The sequence below is a fragment of the Homo sapiens genome, chromosome 11, assembly GCF_000001405.40.
Source record: "Homo sapiens chromosome 11, GRCh38.p14 Primary Assembly".
Classification (NCBI taxonomy): Eukaryota; Metazoa; Chordata; class Mammalia; order Primates; family Hominidae; genus Homo; species Homo sapiens.
The window spans coordinates 126,601,295-126,619,791 of NC_000011.10; the positions used below are offsets into that span (position 1 = coordinate 126,601,295).

Here is an 18,497-nt window from a genome sequence, read left to right on the forward strand (position 1 = left end):
AGAGACTGAGCGGCAGCCGTGGGCATCTTGGGTTTTGCAGCTCAGCCCTGGGCCTGCTAATGCCCTGAGGCGATGGGAACACAGCTCTGGGAGCACCTGCAATCTCATCTTGTTTCTTTCCAAGCACCAGGGAAGAAAAGCAATTTGTTTGCTCTCATACTCTAAAGATGAACTTCCCGTGCTCAATCAAACGTTATTATCCCAATGTAAGTCAATTTACCTTTGAATTTGAAGGCTATTTTCTTCCTAAATGGCTAATTATGGGAGATAGATGGCTGTAAACAGAAGTCTTCTACCTCAACACTCCGCCAGGTTTTCTCCTTATGGCACCTGAGAGAACCAGAGAAAGGAGGCCTCACAGTGTCCTGGCCCCCTCTGCCCACTTGCCGCCCCTCCTCCATTCTTCTCATGCATCCTGCGGTGCCATTCGCCCACCCCGCCTACATTCCTGGACGCCTATTTGGAGTTTCATCCCCCTGAATTCCATCCCCTGCCGCGTCCATTTCTAGGAGCTCCATTCCCTCGTGCCATCTCCCGTTTTTAAGGACTGGACTAAAGGTGGAGGTCTTGGCCTGAGAACCGTGCATACGGGACAGCATGAGTTTTAGGAGACAAGGGGTCCTGTGTGTGTTTGAGATGAAACAAGGTCACCTGAGGCCGCCTCTTTGATTTGCCTGACAGAGTCACAGAAGCTGACCGCTGCGAGGCAGGGGCTGCGGCCTTTTCCCGTGGCATGATCAACACCTCGCAGGAACTAATTGAATGGCCGAGTTTGTTTACTGAGAGGAGGAGTAGCCCCCTCCTTTCTCGCAAAACAAAGTCTTTCCCCAGGAGCGGTGGCAAAGAGGTCAGCCCTGGCAGCGTTTCTGTTTTGCCTTTTGATGAAAGCCTACTCTGGCTGCTCTGAAGAAGGGAGCTCATTGTGTGCTCACTGTCAGAGGTGGCTCCAGCAGGGAGGCCACAGCCCTGGGGGCTTTTTGGGTCTTGGGGTTATGGAGCCTGTGGTGTGTGGGGTTATCTACAGGGACTGAGCTTTCTAGCTCTTCTCCCAGAAGTCTGGCCTCTGGTCCTCTGCCCTTTCCACCTGGGCCCCAGAAGCCATAGTAATAGCAACCTGCCTTTGTCCGGTGCCTCGTCGTCGTTTATGCAAGTCTATATACTTTATCTCACTTGATCCTCACAACCATCCTGTGCTGTCATCCTCCCCTGACAGATGAGGGAGAGGCCCAGAGAGGTCAAGTGCTCTGCCTGAGGTCACACAGCTAGGAAGTGACATAACTGGGACCTGCCTCCCTTTGGCTTGAACGCCTCTGATCTCTCCCGTCTGTCACAGTCCCATCACAGAAAGGCAGGCATGTGGCCCCGTGGTTGAAGCCCTGCCCCAGCTGTGGATCCGCATCACCTGGGCCAGGCTTCCAATTTATGATACTTACTGAGACCTTGGCACCACGGCCTTGATAAACCCCTCTGCCCTGGGCTTGAGCTTGCTGTTCTGTCGGGGGCAGTTCGCGGGGCTGGGAGGACAGGTAAGAAGGGAGGAGCTTTTCATGAGCTGCTCTGGAAAAGTTTAAGGCCATGGTAGGGTCAGCTCAGGAAAGCACAGCAGGGCAAGGGGCAGGTAGGCCTGTCCAACTCAGCTAATAGCTACAGAGGTCTCAAGAAGTAATGATTGGAGGCCTGACTGAGGCATAGAGACCAATAGGAGACGCTCTCTCTCCTAGCTCAGACCAAGGAACCCTAGAACATGCTCCTCCAAGTTCACCCACCGTCACCCTGCAGGGGAGGGGTCTGCCACACTCCAAAAAAGAATCAATCCACTGTGTGTTCTGTGGACTGTTATTTAGAGATGCCCCTACAGATTCCTGGAGCTGCTGGGCCCCATGCCAGGGCAAGGATCCCAGGACTCCCTGTTTAGCATAGTACTTTGATTAAAACAATAAATTCCCATTGAATACCGATGGGCAGGCAAGTGGGGGCTCATGCCAGCCTCGGTGCCCTCCTGGCATCATCTCACAGCAACTCGTTTGGGGAGAAATACCTCCCTCCGCTGTGATGAGAACCCTCATTCCCAATGAATGAGGGGGCAGAAGCTGCCTGGGAGCCTCAGGAATGAGGGCATCATGGGCAGGACAGGGTAGGACTGGGGCAGCTGCAGATGGCACCAAGGATATGGGGGCCTTGACTAAGCAGGGAGGGCCACAGAAGGGGAGAGGGGGCACACAGAAACCTCAATGGCTGGCCCCTGTCTGGTCCTCACCTCCTGACCCTGTCTCTGCAGACATGCTGAACTGGGAGGAACATGCTTGGGTCTTGGCCCCCTGAGCAGCTGTGCTGGAGCCACGCCTCAGTGCCCAGCGCTGCTGCATCTGCTCTCTGGCAGCACATGGCTGCATGTTTCTCTGGGCCCTGCCTGGTGCGCAGCAGCCATATCCTGGGCAGGTGTGCTGGGGCTGTTGCCTCACCTGGCCCTGGGATGCTGGTAGCTCCGGATTGACCAGGGTTTCTGATGGGAAGGGATGTATGGGAGAAGCCAGGGAGTGGAGAGAGAACTCGTGTTCCCCGATACAAGGCTTTTTACCCATGTCTCCCCAAATAGCCCCCCCTCCTCCCACTAGCCCCGAGGCTGGAGATCAACATCATGGTCCCATCTTTAAGAGGAACCAGGATCTGTTTTGAGATGGCCAATCAGCCAAAGAATGCCATAATTCACGTTATCCATTCACTTTTCAGTTGACTTCCTTCCTTCCTTCCTGCTTTCCTTTCTTCCTTTTATCCTTCCTCCCTCCCTTCTATCCATTCAGTAATATTTACTGATAATCCTTCACATGAGGCCCGATGCTAGGCTGTGGAAATCAAAGATGAATAAGCAATAGCTTCTGTCCTTGTGCTATCTCCTCCGGGTGTCCAGTATTATGACCACTGTATTTCTGAACCGAAAACGAGGACGCAGAGCTGACAGGGGTGAGTGTACACGTGGGAATGGGCAGGAAGACCACCCTGAAGGTCTGAGGCATTCTGTTCCTAAGCTAGGATGAAACTGAGTATTCCATACATACTGGCTGCATTGCATTTTTGTCTAGCATTCTTTAATAAGAACAGTAAGAGCTGCCATTTGTTGAACATGTACCATGTGCCAGGCTTGTACAAGATAATGTGTATACCATATCTCATTTAGTCTTCACCACAGCCCTACAGAGAAATTCACTGTCCAGACAGGGAAACTGAGGACCAGGCCGTTCGCAGTTAGTGTTAGTACAGTCCTTCTTGGCCACTCTAAATCCTCTGCTGCCTCTACAGCTGGAGGGTTCTGATCCGTTGGCTTACAGGTGTGTCCTGTGGGCCACATGGGGGTGGGTGGGTGTTCACAGCACACTGCCTGGAGCCATGGTGCACACAGCAGGGGGTCTGAGGCTGCGCAGAATGGCCCACTTCTAAACAAGCGTGTCTGAGCTTTGCCAGGTGTCCATGTTTGGAACACAATAAAAGAGGAGGTCTTCGAAAGGAGGTGACTCAGAGAAGCAACGCTAGACTCACCCCAGAGCTGCAACCTGCTAACTTCACAGAGCCTCACAGCAGAATTATTTAACCCCAAGCCCCCTCTCCTCATGGGGACAAAAGAGAAATCAGGCTGATGCTATCTCCCTCATAGCACACTTAGGAGGAGCAAATGAAACGGCATATGTAAAAGTGCATTGTAAATTGCAAAGTGGCAGATGAGATTATTATTACTGCTTCCTTCACCTCAACAAAGACCCATAATCACAGACAATGCATCGAGCCTGGTGAGGGTGTGGCCTTTCTTGGCCCTGCCCTTTCTCCTTGGCTCCTCCCACGCTCTTGGCTTTTCTCCTGGATTCCCTGCTCTCCCATCTGCAGCAGGTTGGGGCCCCATGGATAACTATATCTAGGGACCGACTCCTGGGATCTTACCAAGTCACATTTGCAGTTGGTGCCTCCTTAGTCACTGCCAGGATTCCAGGCAGGTATAATGTGCTGCACTTAATGTAGAGGATCAGGGTCCCAGTGAGCAGCTTCATCTTCAGGCGTCGGGAGTGGGAGCAATGGAGCACCCATGGTCTCCAGGTCTCAGGCCACTTGGGTCTGGGATTTGAGGCTCAGGGGGAGGAGTCCTGCGGTGACTGCTGTGAAGTGGTGTGGGGGCTCAGGATGGGACCTACTTCATGGGACATGATGGATGAGACTCAGGATGCCAGGAGGGAGGCACAGCCCACACTTAGCAGCTTGGCGCACGCAAATAGGAGCTCTGCTCACAGCCTGTGCTGGGCACTTCATTTCCCAGAGACAACCGGCGCGTTTTAATAATGTCTACTTGGGTTAATGAAAGTTGTCGGTTTCACTTAATAAATACATTGCCATTCTTGGCCACACATATCCGTCATGCTGGGCCTGGAGCTGTGCGTCCCGCCTGAGTTGAGTAGGGATGCTGGGAGTGGGAATGGGGTGGGGAAAGCATGGGGCATATGGGTAGAGAGTGAGGTCTGGAGGGCATGGGACATGGTCCCTCTTGGGAGTTAAGCAGAGGGAGTCCTCTCATTGCATCTTTCCTCTGGGATCAAATTAGAGGCACAAAGGGCAGAAGGGAACCTTGGAGGTTCCTCCTGTTCATTCTCTGCCTCAGGGAAGTGACACACAGAATGGCCCCTTTGGCAGGGAGCAGTGAGCCATAGTGTGGTCCAGAGGGACGCAGGCCATCTTGGGAAGGAATCCCAGTTGACCACTCATTATCTCTGTAACTAAGTCAATTATTCAATCTCCCTGAGCCTCCATTTCTTCAGTAAAATGGAGCTAATAATCATATTTGCTTCATAGAGCCTGTTTCGAGCATTCCAGCATAAGCCATGGGAAGCTCTTAGCAGGCACCCAGCATCTAAAGCACTCAAATCAGAGTCACTAGTATTATTAATGTTAAAATATTATTTTTATGAAGGCACAGTTTAGTATGGTGTTTATGAGAGTGGATCTGGAGTGTGGGTTTGGATTTCGGGTGTATCACTTACTAGCTGTGTCACTCTGGAGAATTTATGTAGTCTTTCTGTGTTTCAGTTTCCAAGTCTGTAAAATACGGGGAAATAATACCTAACTCATGGAGCTGTGAGGAGTGAGCAGATTATGACATGTACATCCTTTGGAACACAGACCCAATAAATGTTAAGAATTATTAAGTTGTCGATTTCACAGGGCCATGGGGGAGGGAAGTCCGGGCTCTCTGGGAACTGCCTTCCACATTTCCCCACCTTAGGGTGGTCTCCAGACCACATCCCAGATGACCTTACACACCCCAGGGGTTGATACCAGGCCGAGACCCTCGACATTCCAGGGAGGGAACCGGAGGACTCCAGTCAGTTTCCAAGCTGCATAACTTGGTTCAAGGTTGGCAGTGAGGGGAGAGACCCAGGGGAGGGATCATGCTTAACATTCTTGGGACATTCTCCTTGAACTCTGCAGGGGCCTTAAAACATCCCTAAGTGCCATACCTCTACATGCTGGCCTTCTTCTGCACTCTTTTTTTCTTTCTTTAAAAGCTTAGACTGATTAAAGATGGGAAGGGATTTGGGGGGTCAAGGGAGGACTCTGGATGGGAAAGGGGAGAAGCTCAGATGATGGGAAGGGGCGGGGGTGGCCAGGCAGTGCTTTCTAGCTGAAGTAAGCAGCTTTGGAACCTGCCTATCACATGGCCGGGTATTCCAGGGTTTTTAAATTGCATGCCACATGTTTATCCTTATTAAGCAGTTGTTCTCTTCCAAGGGGCTCTCTCTGGCAGCCAAGAACCAACCACAGGGCTTGTCGTGGGGCTTATGAGTAGCTAGGGCCTCCCAGGAGGTCGTCAGAGTGGATGGAGGGGCAAAGCCAGGAAAATACCTGGGGGCTTCCACTCCCTAAACCCAGGGAAACGATGGAGTAGCTGAGCCGAGATTGGCTCACCTCCTTGTACAGGAAGAAAAACTGCGGCCAGAGGGGCAAGGCGAGGAAGTCGCCATAACACATTTGGTGTGGTTTTGGGCAGACAGAACGGGTTTCTTATGGCTGGGGCTGCTTTCTAATGTGAATATGAGTACTCTTGGCTGGGAGAGGAAGGGCTGGAGGAGAGATCAGGAAGGAGAGATCCACATCTGGCTCCGAGCTGACTCTCGGTGACCATGACCACCTCCTTCCACTGGAGGGAGCAGCCTCTCCGCAGGTGGGGCTGTCCCTCAGGAGCAGGAACTGGGCTCCCGCTGGAGAGAAGCAGCGCTCCACGTTCAAAGACCATTATTGCCATTATTAATTGATCGCTGTTATTATCATGTAGGCATTAAGTGGCTTCCTCTGCCCTTTGAGTTGTAACACTTAGGGCAGCTGCTAGCGAGGACAAAACAAAGCTTCCCTACTGCAAGAGCTTTATCTGGGTCCCTGCTGCTGTGTGGCCTTCTGCAATTAGCCATTTTACAGATGGAGAAACTTAGTCCTAATGATTTGCTGAAGGGCCGAGTTGCTTAGCCCTGCAGGGTACACAGATGAATAGGGAGCGTTGCTGAGCACTTGCAATCAAGACAGAGTTGCCACCCACTGCAAGGACGAACATCACTACTGGGTCAGCTCTGCAGCTGCAAGTCTGGGGAAAAGGGATCCACCCAGGCACTAGGGCAACTGCTCAGCCCCATCGCAGCAAGGGCCCGAGGAACGAGCACGTCAGCTGTCTCCAGGGCCTTTCTCATCATCTCCCGTGCCTGCCGTGCTGTCTCTTACCAACCCAGGAGGGAGGGTTGGTGGCTGCTGCTCCATCCTCACCCTTTAGACCACCCCACAGGTGGGACAGGGTGGGCCCAGGTGGAGTCTGAGCTGGGTGCCAATTCCAGGAATGCAGCTGGAGGTGGGGGCGGGCCATGGTGGGCCAGGACAGGTGGGAGAGAAAAGCAGGAGGCAGCTGAAGGGGGCGGTCTCAGAAGCCCCCGCTGGGAGCCTCCTATCCACCTGGCAGGCGTTTGGAACAACGTGCTGAATAACAGCAGCATTTGTGAAATCTAATTAGTGCAGGCCCAACTTCTGACTTCCTGTGCGGGGGCTCCTCCTCTAGCCCCAGGCTATCGAGCTGAATTAAGCTGCCTAAGATCACCTCATTAAATTCACTAACCTTGCTTTTCCACCAGGTTTAGCCCCTGGTGCCCTTCCTCTGTCTGTGGGAGGTGCGCGTCTGGCATTCCTCCAGTGCGTTCCCAGGCAGGTGTTTTGAGAAACTCCCCTCCTCTTCCCTCCTCTCCCCTCCCCAAATGGCTCCCTTAATCACGAGCTGCTTTCTTCTGAGCTCAATAATCACCCTGGACTAATCCATACACAAAATCCTGTGGCTGCAGTAGGAGCCCCCTTCCCAGCCCTCCCTGGCTAAGGGATGGTGGTCCCAGAGGCACTGAGGACTCCTCCTGGAGGCAGGCAGGGGGCTGTCCAGAGGCAGAGCATTGGGCCTGCTGGCAAACTGCTAACTGGCACAGGTGACTTGCATTTCCTGGGGCCTAACTGCTGGGAGTGCACTTCTGGAGTGGAGATGGGCAATGGGGATGCCTGATGAGACCTATGTCCAGGACAGGAGGGGAGGGGATGGAGAAGCAGCTCTGGAGCCCAGCTTGCTGTTAGCCCTGAGAAACAAGTGACTTCCTGTGGGTCAGAGTACAGGGTGGGTAGCAGAAACAATCAGGCCAGAGGGGTATTTGTTGCAGAAGAGAAATGTGATGCAATTAGTATGCTAGGAGAATGGAAAACTAACCCGGAGACAGGGCTAAAGTTACTGCCCACTCAACTCTGCATGGAATTGTGCTGAATTGAGGAGCACTGCAGCGAGACCTGACCACCGCCCAGCCCAGGTTGGGTTTGTTTTCCCCGCTCTGAGACCGGACCTCAGGAAAGGGGTGCGGGGAAGGTTGGGTTCAGAAGGAGAGACTCTCCAGCCACACCTGTGAAGCTCCAGGCAGTTTCCCTAATGTCTCTCCTTAGCCTCTTGCAGAGAGGGCTAATGTATGTCTTCCCCCCGGGCTGGTGGCTGGGTTAATTGGACCTTGTTTATGTAGCATCTATTATTTATGATTTCCTTTCGTCTCTCCTGAGTATGACAACTGTGGTTAAGCAACCAGAGTTATTCCTGCCTCGGGACATGTATGAGGACGGTCTCCTTTGCAGCCTACCTGAAGTGAATGTGAGGCCGAGAGGCTTCGTGAAAGGTTAAGTGGGTGGGGGACCTGCTGGGAGAGAGGGGCAGGGGAATGTGCCTGAGATCAGACAGCCTTGCACTAAGCTCAGCTCCTTTCTGGGGGGACCTCCGATGCATGCTCACTTGTATAAAATCTAACTGGAACTGGGATCGTGTTCTGGGGGTTCCGAACTTTGGCTGCATATTGGAATTATCTGAGATGTCTGAAAAACCTGACAACCAGAGATTCCAGATTAATCGGTATGGGGGTGTGGCTACAAGGTTTCAGAGCTCCCCAGTATTCTAATATACAGCAAAAGTTGAGAGCCACTCGCAGCTCCAGCACATTCTTACTGTGTCAGTTTTTTTCTGTTGATTATGAACAACAGCAGCTAACATTAATAGAACCTGATGATGCGATAGGCACCGAGATAAGAATTTTATGTGGATGACTTCAACGAATCCTCAGAACAACCCAATGTTGTTGGAAGGTGCAATGATCATCTTCCTTTTACAGATGAAGAAACTGAGGCTCAGGGAGGTTAAGTAAATGAGGCCGAAGTCACACATTGTTTCAGTTACAAAGTTAGGCCTGACCTGACTCCAAAATCTGTGCTGTTAACTTTTTTTTTTTTGAGACAGAATTTTGCCCTTTCACCCAGACTGGAGTGCAGCAGCAAGATCTCGGCTCACTGCAACCTTCGCCTCCCAGGTTCAAGCGATTCTCCTGCCTCAGCCTGCCGAGTGGCTGGGATTACAGGCATGCACCACCACGCCTGGCTAATTTTTGTATTTTTAATAGAGATGGGGGTTTCGGCATGTTCGTCAGGCTGGTCTTGAACTCCTGGTCTCAAACAATCTGTCTGCCTTGGCCTCCCAAATTGCTGGGATTACAGGCATGAGCCTGCTTGTCTGAACTGTAAGAGGATTTTAACAGTTTCCCAAGCAATGCTTCATATTCACAAATGAACACATTAGGCTCAAGGACAGAAGGGACATACTTAGGATGATAGACTAACCTGGCCCAGCCTGCAACCTCATGGGAATGTGGGATAATGAGAGAGAATGTTTGCATTGGAGGTCTGTGGGCGTAGAGCACTCAACAAATGCCAGGCACTGGGGCTATAATCACATGGGGAGAAGGAGCCAACCGTGCATGTCTGAAGCAGGTATTCTCTTCCCTGCAGGTGCCAGGACTACAGACAGGGCAACGGAGAGCAGGGGCTTGCTGGAGAAATCCATCCTTCCCTGGGATCTCTTGGAGGGCTCTCCATCTCTCTTAGAGCAGTTTCTTTCTTAGACAGTTGAAGCTGCCTCAGTGGTCTCCCCAGATCATGCAGGTCGGGGCAGAAGCTTCTCACTCAGAGAACTGAGAATATCATTTTTCACAGAAGTCTAAGGTGGAATTTAGACCAAGATATTCTTGGCCTTAGCAGTTTGACTCGGGCGGGGGTTTGAAGCTGGAACTTTTCAACATACATCTCCAAGCTTCAGGAGGAAGCTAGACACATCTGAAAGCCTCTGAACAACCTGCGATGAAGATTCTTGAAAAAAGAGACCATTTGCCTTAGGGGCTAAGAGTACAGGTGCAAGAGACAGACCGCCCACATTAAAATCTGACTCCACTCCTGAGCTGTGTGACTTTGGGGAAGTTCCTCAACTGAAGTCACAAAGACCTAATCTGGGAGGTGGGAATAGTCATAGAAAAAGGATCGTGGGGAAATGAAACGAGAGAATACATGTAACGTTCTTGGCTCACAGCGCCCGGTGAATGTTAGCTGCTATTACTGTTGTTCCTACCACCGCACCCTCTCCCATTCCTTTCCTTCTCAATTCTATTGACATTTTTGGTGTCTAACTCCTTTTGAGAGATCATGACTTTTGTAGAACTAGGCTGCTTTCACTCTTTGAGGGTGGTCTTTCTGATTGATCCATCAGTCTGCATTCTCCTTGCCGTCCTTGGTATGCACACACATGCATGGAAGCTATATTCCTCCTTCATACTGGACTTTGAGGACAACGTTTTCATGTTTCACATTTCCCACTTCATCTCCTTTGTTTTCCACTTGCTTAGTTTCCTACTCTTCCCTTTATCCTGAGGTGTCGTGAGGGCAATGGCCTGCAGAGTCCAAAGGTGGCTGTCATGTCATTTGTCCACGTTTGCATTCCCGTGCCCTCCCCACAGATGGCTGCTCTCTGGGCTGCACGCACGTTGGGTTCACTGATCGCAGAGTCTTTTTCTGGCTGCCAAGAACATGGTAGCCTCCCAGAGGCTGTTGGCATGTGGATGCTGCCTCTGTGATCCACAGCCCCGCCAGGCTGATGCTTCAGGAATGGATCACACCTTGGCTGGACCCATCAGGCTGGAACACCAGATTCTTAATCAACTGTAGGTGCTACTGTCGCTCTAGGACCTGCCGATGCCCTCTGTCCTTCTCTGGTGACTTTGTCCACGTGGATCTTCAGTTCCTTCAACATGTGTGCTTGTTGCCCCTTGGAGCCCACCTCCTCAAGCAAGCCTCCCAGCCCAGTCAGCCCCTGTGCACTCTCATGTTACCTGTGCATCTCCTTCACAACTCACGTCACTGATGGACTTACGCAGTTGGGTGTGTATTTGGTAACCTGTCTTCCTCCTGCTGAAATATCAACTCCAAGAGGGCAAGGAGTGTGTCTATTTGTTCACTACAGTATTATATGAACACCCCTGGCATATAATAAGTGCTCCCTCAGAATTTGAGTATTATATGGACACCCTTGGCATATAATAAATGCTCCCTCAGAATTTGAGTATTATATGGACACCCTTGGCATATAATAAATGCTCCCTCAGAATTTGAGTATTATATGGACACCCCTGGCATAGAATAAATGCTCCCTCAGTATTTGAATAAATAAATGTGGTGTCAATTTGGATTAATTTTCTTGATCTCATACTTGTGTTCTCTATGCATCCTATCACCTGGCTCTGCTACTAACTGTCTCATGAACTTGGAAGCTTTAGGGGTTAGTCTTTTTTAAGTACATTCGTTAAAAAAGAGATGTTGTTCATATAACATAACATTTTCCCCTTTAAAATAGACAGTTCAGTAGTTTTAAGTATATTTACAACATTTTGCAACCATGGCCATGACCTCATTTTGGAACAATTTCATCGCCCCCAAAATAAACCCCACACCCATCACTCCCCATTTCTGTCCCCGTCGGTAGCCATTAACCCACTTTCTGCCTCTGTGGATTTACCTATACTGGACACTCCTACAACATGTGGCCTTTTGTGTCCGTCTCCTTTCACGTAACAAAATGCTTTCAAGGTTCCATCCCAGTTGCCACATGCATCAGTACTTTATTCCTTTGTATGGGTGAGTAACATTCCATGGCATAGCTATAAGCGCATTTTGTCCATTCATCATCTGCTAGACATTTGGGCTGTTTCCACTTTTCGGCTATTGTGAATACTGCTGCTATGAACATCTGTGTAAAGTTTTTGTGTGAACGTATGTTTTCAGTACTCTTGGGTATATACTTAGAAGTGGGATCACTGGGTCATATGGTAACTCTATGTTTAATTTTTGCAGAACCGCCAAACTGCTTTCTGAGGAGTTTTTATTTGACTTTTTTAAATGAAAGGCCAATTTAGTGTCCACCCCCTTACATTTAAATTTTTATTTGATAAAGAACTCCTTTAGAAACATATTAAAAACCATGGAATCTCCAGATAAATGCATATGTGTGAATATACATCATTTCAGGGGTCCCAGAACCATCAGAAACTGGCTGTGGATCCCAAAGTTCGTGATTACAGGCTCGCACGCAGCAGTGTTTTAAGGTTAGATGATTTTCTCCAACACAGAACTCCAGCTACAGTTTTGGCTTTTTCACACGGATATTGGAGATGGATAATTTGGCTAATGAGTTCTAATCCATGTTCTGATTTGCATCTGGGATCAGAACATTCAGCAGCCATTTAGTTGCCTTAATTTTTTCCACCCACTCTGCAATCATTTGATTGATGTGCAATTACCTCCCCCTGCTTGGACACGTGCTTTCCCCTGCTCATGTGTGTCATCCAATGCCTGATAACCTTCATTTTTTCCCATTTATTTTGTGTGTGTTGGCCACTGTTTGATATAATTATTTTTGTAATCATCTTCTATTAGGTGAAAGAATATTGCAGTAGAGAAAGAAGGAAAAAGAAAATAAATGCCTTCCTGACAAGTTCTAATATTTTATGTTCACAAATCTCCCAATATCAGAGCAATAATATTATTTTCTCGATGTGCATTTATTAAAATGTAAAGTAGCTCCATCACATTGGGAACGAAAACCCTTGCATTACCTTGGCCAGAAAATATCACTTATTTATTTCAGATTGCATTTCTGGAATGTTAATACTGTTGCTTTTTTTTTTTTTTTTTTTTTTATTTTTTTCCCCATAGCCTTTATCTAGCAGGGGAGTGAACCTGAAGGTCTGATTTCTAAACAGGCCTTGCTGAATGCACAGGACCTTAATTTGGTTTTAAGAATTGCTTTTGGCTCTTGATTTATGATGAGGTTCTTTTCTGTGTAATTCTTTTGGCTGAAAACTGAATAGAGTTCTCCCTTTGTGGGTGGCATTTTGACATCACATTTTAAGACAGGGTACAGATGTAAGTGGGGAGTAGGGAAGATTTATAAAAGAGAAGGGGGATTAACATGTGCGCTTTAAGGGTTGGAAAAGTTCGATCTATTGTCGATTTCTCTATGGTATCAATGGCATACCCCTTAGATTCCAGTTCCTAAGTCAGAATGTTAATTTCCAGGTAGCCTAGTAAAAGAGATACTAGATTGGAAGTCAGAAGCCAGGAGTTCTAATCCTATTTTTCCCTCTAAGTAGGTTTGTGACCTTGGACAACTCACTTCCATTCTTTGCGCTGTTTTCTCAAGTGCAAAAGGAAAGGTTGAACTAAGATGGATGGGTTTTAATCTTAGCTGCGTATTAGAATGCCCTGGAGAGCTTTGAAAACTACAGTGATACTCAGGCCCTTAGATCAATTAAATCAGACTTTCTCATGAGGGTGCATGGACCTGGGCATTGGTGTCTCTACTAAACACTGCCCAGGTGGTTCTATCATCAAGCCAGAGATGAGGACCCCTGGTGCAGGTGATCTCAGATGTCCCTCCAGATTTCTGGTTCCTCAGTGTTATGAGCTGGGCAGTGATGTCAGTCCAGCCAAGGCTGGTGAGATGTATTTGCAGACAAGTGGGCCGCAATCACAGGATTGTGATTCTGTGCTGGGGTTCGAGGTGTCTCCGCTGGGAGACTCTGGGGAGATCCTGAATGGAATTGAATTTCTCTTAGTATCAGGTCTGGGTTGGGGCAGGTAAATCTTCCTTTCTTTGTGGGCTCATGGTGCTGAGAAGATGGATGAGCTGGGGCCGGTAAAATAGCTTTGTTCCTTGGAGAAAGTCATGTAGAGAGATAAGGTAGGCTTATTATTTTTCGAGTGGAACTGGGACTGTTTAGCCTAGAAAAGGGGGGACTTGGGGAGAGGCGTGATTTGCGGTCTTCAAGAGGCTGAAAGGCTGTCATGTGGAAGAGGGATTGGAGTGATTTGAGATGCTCTGGGGGGCTGAACTCAGGTCTGTGGGTAGAGAGTCAGGGAAAGACATTTTGGTGCATTATGAGGAAGAATTGTAATGTAGAGCTGTGCTTCATATTCCCCGTGCATACCTCTGCCTTAGCACCTGCTTTTATGACAGTCTTCTCTACAATGAGACGACATCTTTCTCATCTCTGTATTCTCAGCACCTAATCCAGTTCCTGGCACAGTCCTCAATAAATGTTTATTGTCATTCCTGTGATTATTAATTACTGTCATGAATGCCCACTATGCAGATCACTTTTCTTGCTTTATCTTGTTTAACTCTCCTAATGCTTTAGAAGTAAGTATATTTATTACCCCACTCTACAGTTAAGGAAACCAGAGCTTTGGGAGGTTAAGGAATGGGCAAAATCACAGCCAGTAGGTAGCAGAGGCTGGATGTGAAATTAGGTCTGTCTGACTCAAAAACCTGTGTTCCTAACCATCCTGCCCACCAGGATCCTGGAGGTATTCAAGCTGAAGATAGACAACCACTTGGGGGACCTAGTTGTGCCATGGCAATAAGTATGGATTGAGTTAGGACAGTCCCAGATGATGATGGAGCCAGGAGCTGAGTAGATTTTTAGAGTCTGAGGTCACCCAGTTACTGCTCTATCAGCCACCTACCCCACATTCCTCCAGTGAGGTGTTGGCCCGGTCCAGAGGCAGAGCCTTACTACCTTTGGCTACATAGGCTCTGGGATGGCAGTGCTCTCTCAGCAGTTATGGTCTTTTCCAGGTAATAAGTATTGCGGCCTCCTCTGCCACTTGCCTGCATTAAGCCTTTTGGTCATATGTCTGGGGAGCAGACTTCTTTGTATGCCCCCGGGGACAGGACAGGATGGAGGGAGGAGCCCTGGGTGTGTGTGTGTGGGGTGCGTGGGTGGGGAGATGCATGACTGCTTTGGTTATGAAACATTGTGTTAGTGTGTCCGTTCACTTCACATAGACACAGTGATTGCATTACTACGCGGCCGAGCATACGTGGCAGAGGGTGGAAGCAGCTGAGGAAGGAGCAGGTGCTCCAAGGAAATCTTTCATCAAAGTGATGGCATAGCTAAAGGCACAGAAAGAAATGCATTACTGAGATGGCGTTGCCCGTTCATGGGCGGCTGCAAGGAAGGCTGAAATGGTGGCTTGGGAGAATGAATGGGAGAGGGGCTGGAATTGGCTGGAAAGACAGGAAAAGGAAAGAGGGGGAGAAACAAGTTCGTGGGAATGGTGATTCCTTTCAAATGGGGTGCACAGCCTGACAAGCTGTGCGTTCTTCTTAAACACAGCCCAAATCAAGTCTTAACTTGAAAGAAAATTAAGTCAGATTCAGTCATGACCCTCCTGTTAGCCTGGTTGGGCATAGAGGCTTTCCAGAAAACTCTCTCTGGAGGGGTTAGGTGGTGGTTGTAGCAGTGGTAAGCACAAAAAAGGGAGCCAGCATTTGAGAATCAAGTGCTTAAAATACATCATCCCATTTGTTTCTGATAATGAACACACAGAGTGGGTGATAGGATTTTCCTTTTACAGATGAGAAGACTGAGGCTCACAGGGCTTTTGTTGTTGTTGGTTTAGAGATAAAGTCTTGCTCTGTCACCCAGGTTGAGGTTTCATGGTATGATCATGGCTCACTCCAGCATTGAATTCCTGGGCTCCAGTGATCCTCGAGCCTTAGCCTCCCAAGTAGCTGAGACTACAGGTGCACACCACTGTGATTGGCTATTTTTAATTTTTTTTGCAGAGGCAGGGTCTCACTATTTTGCCCAGGCTGGTCTTGAACTCCTGGGCTCAAGTGATCCTCCTGCCTTGGCCTCCCAAAGTGTTGGGATTACAGGTGTGAGCCACTTGGCCTGGCCTCATAGATGTTTCAAAGACTAAATTATAAGTGAAAGCCAGAGAGTCTTACTTAAACATGACTTAAAAATTGTTTATTTTACCACATCATGTGATCTTCCAGTTTTCCATCAGAGCAGGCAGGTTGGAGGTTGGGGGCTTAGGAGTTTGCTTTCACAGCCTCACTAAATAAATTTTGGGGAATGGCCACAGATTCTAGTGGGCCTGTTAGCCTGACGAGGCTGAGGTTGCAGACAGGACCCACAGAATGGGAGAAGCTGAGTTACTTGCAAGTTGGAAAGGTGATGTCATCATGAAACAAAATGGATTTGGTTGGTGGGCTTGCCCACGCAGTTAGATGGCAGGTGGTGAAGAAACATGGCCTCTTCTCTCTTATAACTCTGAGGGGCAGGAGGAGAGAGCTGGGAATCACTAGATTCACTGCAGAGAAGTTTGGGGCTGTATCTAGGTCATGGGTAAACTGATAATTGGAAAAGAAATTCAAGGTTGGACATTCATTTTGATTTTTGGTTTTCAAAGTTTATACTTATCTACTTTCAAAAATAATTTTAAGAGACATACTATTTTCTCAGGAAAAGAAATATATGCCCTCTAAATAGTTTTCTTCCTTGAATATTGCCAGCAAATCAGCCATCTCATTGAATATTGATGGTTGTAGAGCAAATCACGAATGCTGACCTAGAGCTGCCATTTATTGAGTTCCTACTAGGGATTTGACTCTGTTTTAGGTACATTGCACATATTAGCTTTATAAACATTCCCCACAACCCAGCAAGATAGGCATTTTTATCCCCATTTTTCAGATGAGGAAACTGAGGTTCACAGAGGTTAACTGACTTGCTCAAAGTCCCACTGTATATAAGTAGCAAAACTAAGATTTGAACTCAGATCTGTCTGACTTCAAAATCAGGTGCTCTTTCTACTCTGTGACATGAGGCTATGAACATGTGAATCTCAGAGGTAAAAAGCAGAGTTGGATATGGTTTGGATCTGTGTCCCCACCCAAGTCTTATGTTCAGTTGTGATCCTCAATGTTGGAGGTGGGGCCTGGTGGGAGGTGATTGGATAATGTGGTTGGTGTTCTCATGAATGGCTTAGCACCATCCCTTCAGTGTTGTTCTCATGATAGTGAGTATGTGAGATATCACGAGATCTGGTTGTTTAAAATTGTGTAGCACCTCCCCACTCCCCTCTCCTCCTGCTCTGGCCATGTGAGACATCTCGCTTCTCCTACAACTTCTGCCATGATTGTAAGTTTCCTGAGGCCTCAGCTAGGCTGAGGCAGATTTATAGTTACGCATTGGCCAGGGTGGTGCTAACTCACTCATGAGAACTCACCCACATGATCCAAACCATATTAGTGAGCCAAACTCTACCTTTTAGCTCTGAGATTCATGTGCGCAGAAACCGCCATGTTTCTTGTACGGCCTATGGAACCAGGAGCCAATTAAACTTCTTTTCTTTATAAATTACCCAGTCTCTTTTGTCTTTCTTTTTTTTTGTTTTTAGACAGAGTCTCATTCTGTCATCTGTCACCCAGGTTGGAGTGCAGTGGCACAATCTTGGCTCACTGCAAACTCCGCCTCCTGGGTTCAAGCGATTCTCCTGCGTCAGCCTCCTGAGTAGCTGGTATTACAGGCATGCACCACCATACCTGGCTAATTTTTATGTCTTTAGTAGAGACAAGGTTGCGCCATGTTGGCCAGGCTGGTCTCAAACTCCTGACCTCAGGTGATCCACCTGCCTTGGCCTCCCAAAGCGCTGGGATTACAAGCATGAGCCACCTAGTTTCAGATATTTCATTATAGCAATGCGAGAACAACCTAATACACTCACCCTTACCTCTTCAACACAAAGAGTCTTCCCAGAGCATCCCTGCTAAGGGCTGTGACTTGAATCACCCTCCTCTACTAATGAAAGACTCGTTAATGACTCCACGAGGTGTCAGGTCCACTGTTTGATCCTGCATTGGTTCACCCAAGGAATATTTAATACGTGTCCACTGTGTGTCAGGTACTATTCTAGAACCTGGCAGGCCAGACAAGGGCCTGGTTCTCATGGATCTTGACTTCTAGTTGGAGAAGCAAGCCCTTGAAAACAAAGTAAATAACAAAGAGTTTCAGGTGCTGATAAATGCATTGGAGATAATGAGACAGCGGTCTAGAGGGTGTCTGGCCATAGGGATCCCTTTAGATGGAATAATCAGGGAAGATTTTGCTAAAGAGATAGCAACTGAGTTGAGATCTGAATGACAAGGATATGCCTTCCAAAGATCTGGGAGAAAGGGGATTTAAGGCAGAGGAAACAGGAGATGCCAAAGCTTTGAGGCCAGACTGAGTTTGGCACATTAAGTAAGCCCAATAGCCTGGAGAGAACAATCAACTAGGGGGAGAATGGGAGGAGATGAGCCCAGAGAGGAAGGCGGAAGCCAGATGGTGTAGGGCCCACCTGCCATAGCGAGGGCTTTGGATTTTATCCTAAGTGTGGTGGGATGCCATCGGATGGGTTTGAATGGGAAAATGACATAATCTGATTCACATTTTAAAAAAAGATCCTATGTGGAGACTGGATTGCAGGAGGCACTTCTAATTGTTGGAAGGACTGTTCTCTCTTCTACTGATCAAAGTTGGTTCTTCAAGTAATGACCCTTATGAAACTGTCCTCACAACATTAATGAGAATTACAAACCAGACTTTAGGCGGATTTGTAGTTAGGCATTGGCCAGGGTGCACTGGTGCACTTTGACCCACTTCCTAGCAGCTGCTGACTGACCAAGAGTCACACAGCATGCTGACCACCTGCTTTCCCATTGTTCCTAAAGATAGAATCTCTGACACTGGACCTTTTTACTC

The 18,497-nt window shown here is 48.3% G+C and overlaps 1 protein-coding gene and 1 long non-coding RNA gene across 18 annotated transcripts in view, besides 4 other annotated features; one reads left to right on the forward strand and one right to left on the reverse strand.

The window, feature by feature from the left end:
* The window catches only part of KIRREL3-AS1 (KIRREL3 antisense RNA 1), a 68,564-nt gene extending 57,468 nt beyond the window's left edge, over positions 1 to 11,096 (forward strand). The window contains exon 2 of the long non-coding RNA NR_174952.1: positions 9,367 to 11,096. This is a non-coding gene — a long non-coding RNA (KIRREL3 antisense RNA 1). The remainder of the gene's footprint in view (positions 1 to 9,366) is intronic.
* KIRREL3 (kirre like nephrin family adhesion molecule 3) overlaps positions 1 to 18,497 on the reverse strand; it is a 580,037-nt gene that overhangs the window by 177,937 nt on the left and 383,603 nt on the right. The window lies entirely within an intron of this gene.
* Positions 538 to 1,315: an enhancer, noted in NCBI's record as "NANOG-H3K4me1 hESC enhancer chr11:126471727-126472504 (GRCh37/hg19 assembly coordinates)". NCBI's record gives its function as "activates a minimal SCP1, AML or CMV promoter by ChIP-STARR-seq in primed H9 embryonic stem cells {active_cell/tissue: H9 hESC(primed)}" and the evidence as "EXISTENCE:reporter gene assay evidence [ECO:0000049][PMID:30033119]".
* Positions 5,904 to 6,589: an enhancer, noted in NCBI's record as "OCT4-NANOG-H3K4me1 hESC enhancer chr11:126477093-126477778 (GRCh37/hg19 assembly coordinates)". NCBI's record gives its function as "activates a minimal SCP1, AML or CMV promoter by ChIP-STARR-seq in naive and primed H9 embryonic stem cells {active_cell/tissue: H9 hESC(naive and primed)}" and the evidence as "EXISTENCE:reporter gene assay evidence [ECO:0000049][PMID:30033119]".
* Positions 6,590 to 7,275: an enhancer, noted in NCBI's record as "OCT4-NANOG-H3K4me1 hESC enhancer chr11:126477779-126478464 (GRCh37/hg19 assembly coordinates)". NCBI's record gives its function as "activates a minimal SCP1, AML or CMV promoter by ChIP-STARR-seq in naive H9 embryonic stem cells {active_cell/tissue: H9 hESC(naive)}" and the evidence as "EXISTENCE:reporter gene assay evidence [ECO:0000049][PMID:30033119]".
* Positions 7,276 to 7,960: an enhancer, noted in NCBI's record as "H3K4me1 hESC enhancer chr11:126478465-126479149 (GRCh37/hg19 assembly coordinates)". NCBI's record gives its function as "activates a minimal SCP1, AML or CMV promoter by ChIP-STARR-seq in primed H9 embryonic stem cells {active_cell/tissue: H9 hESC(primed)}" and the evidence as "EXISTENCE:reporter gene assay evidence [ECO:0000049][PMID:30033119]".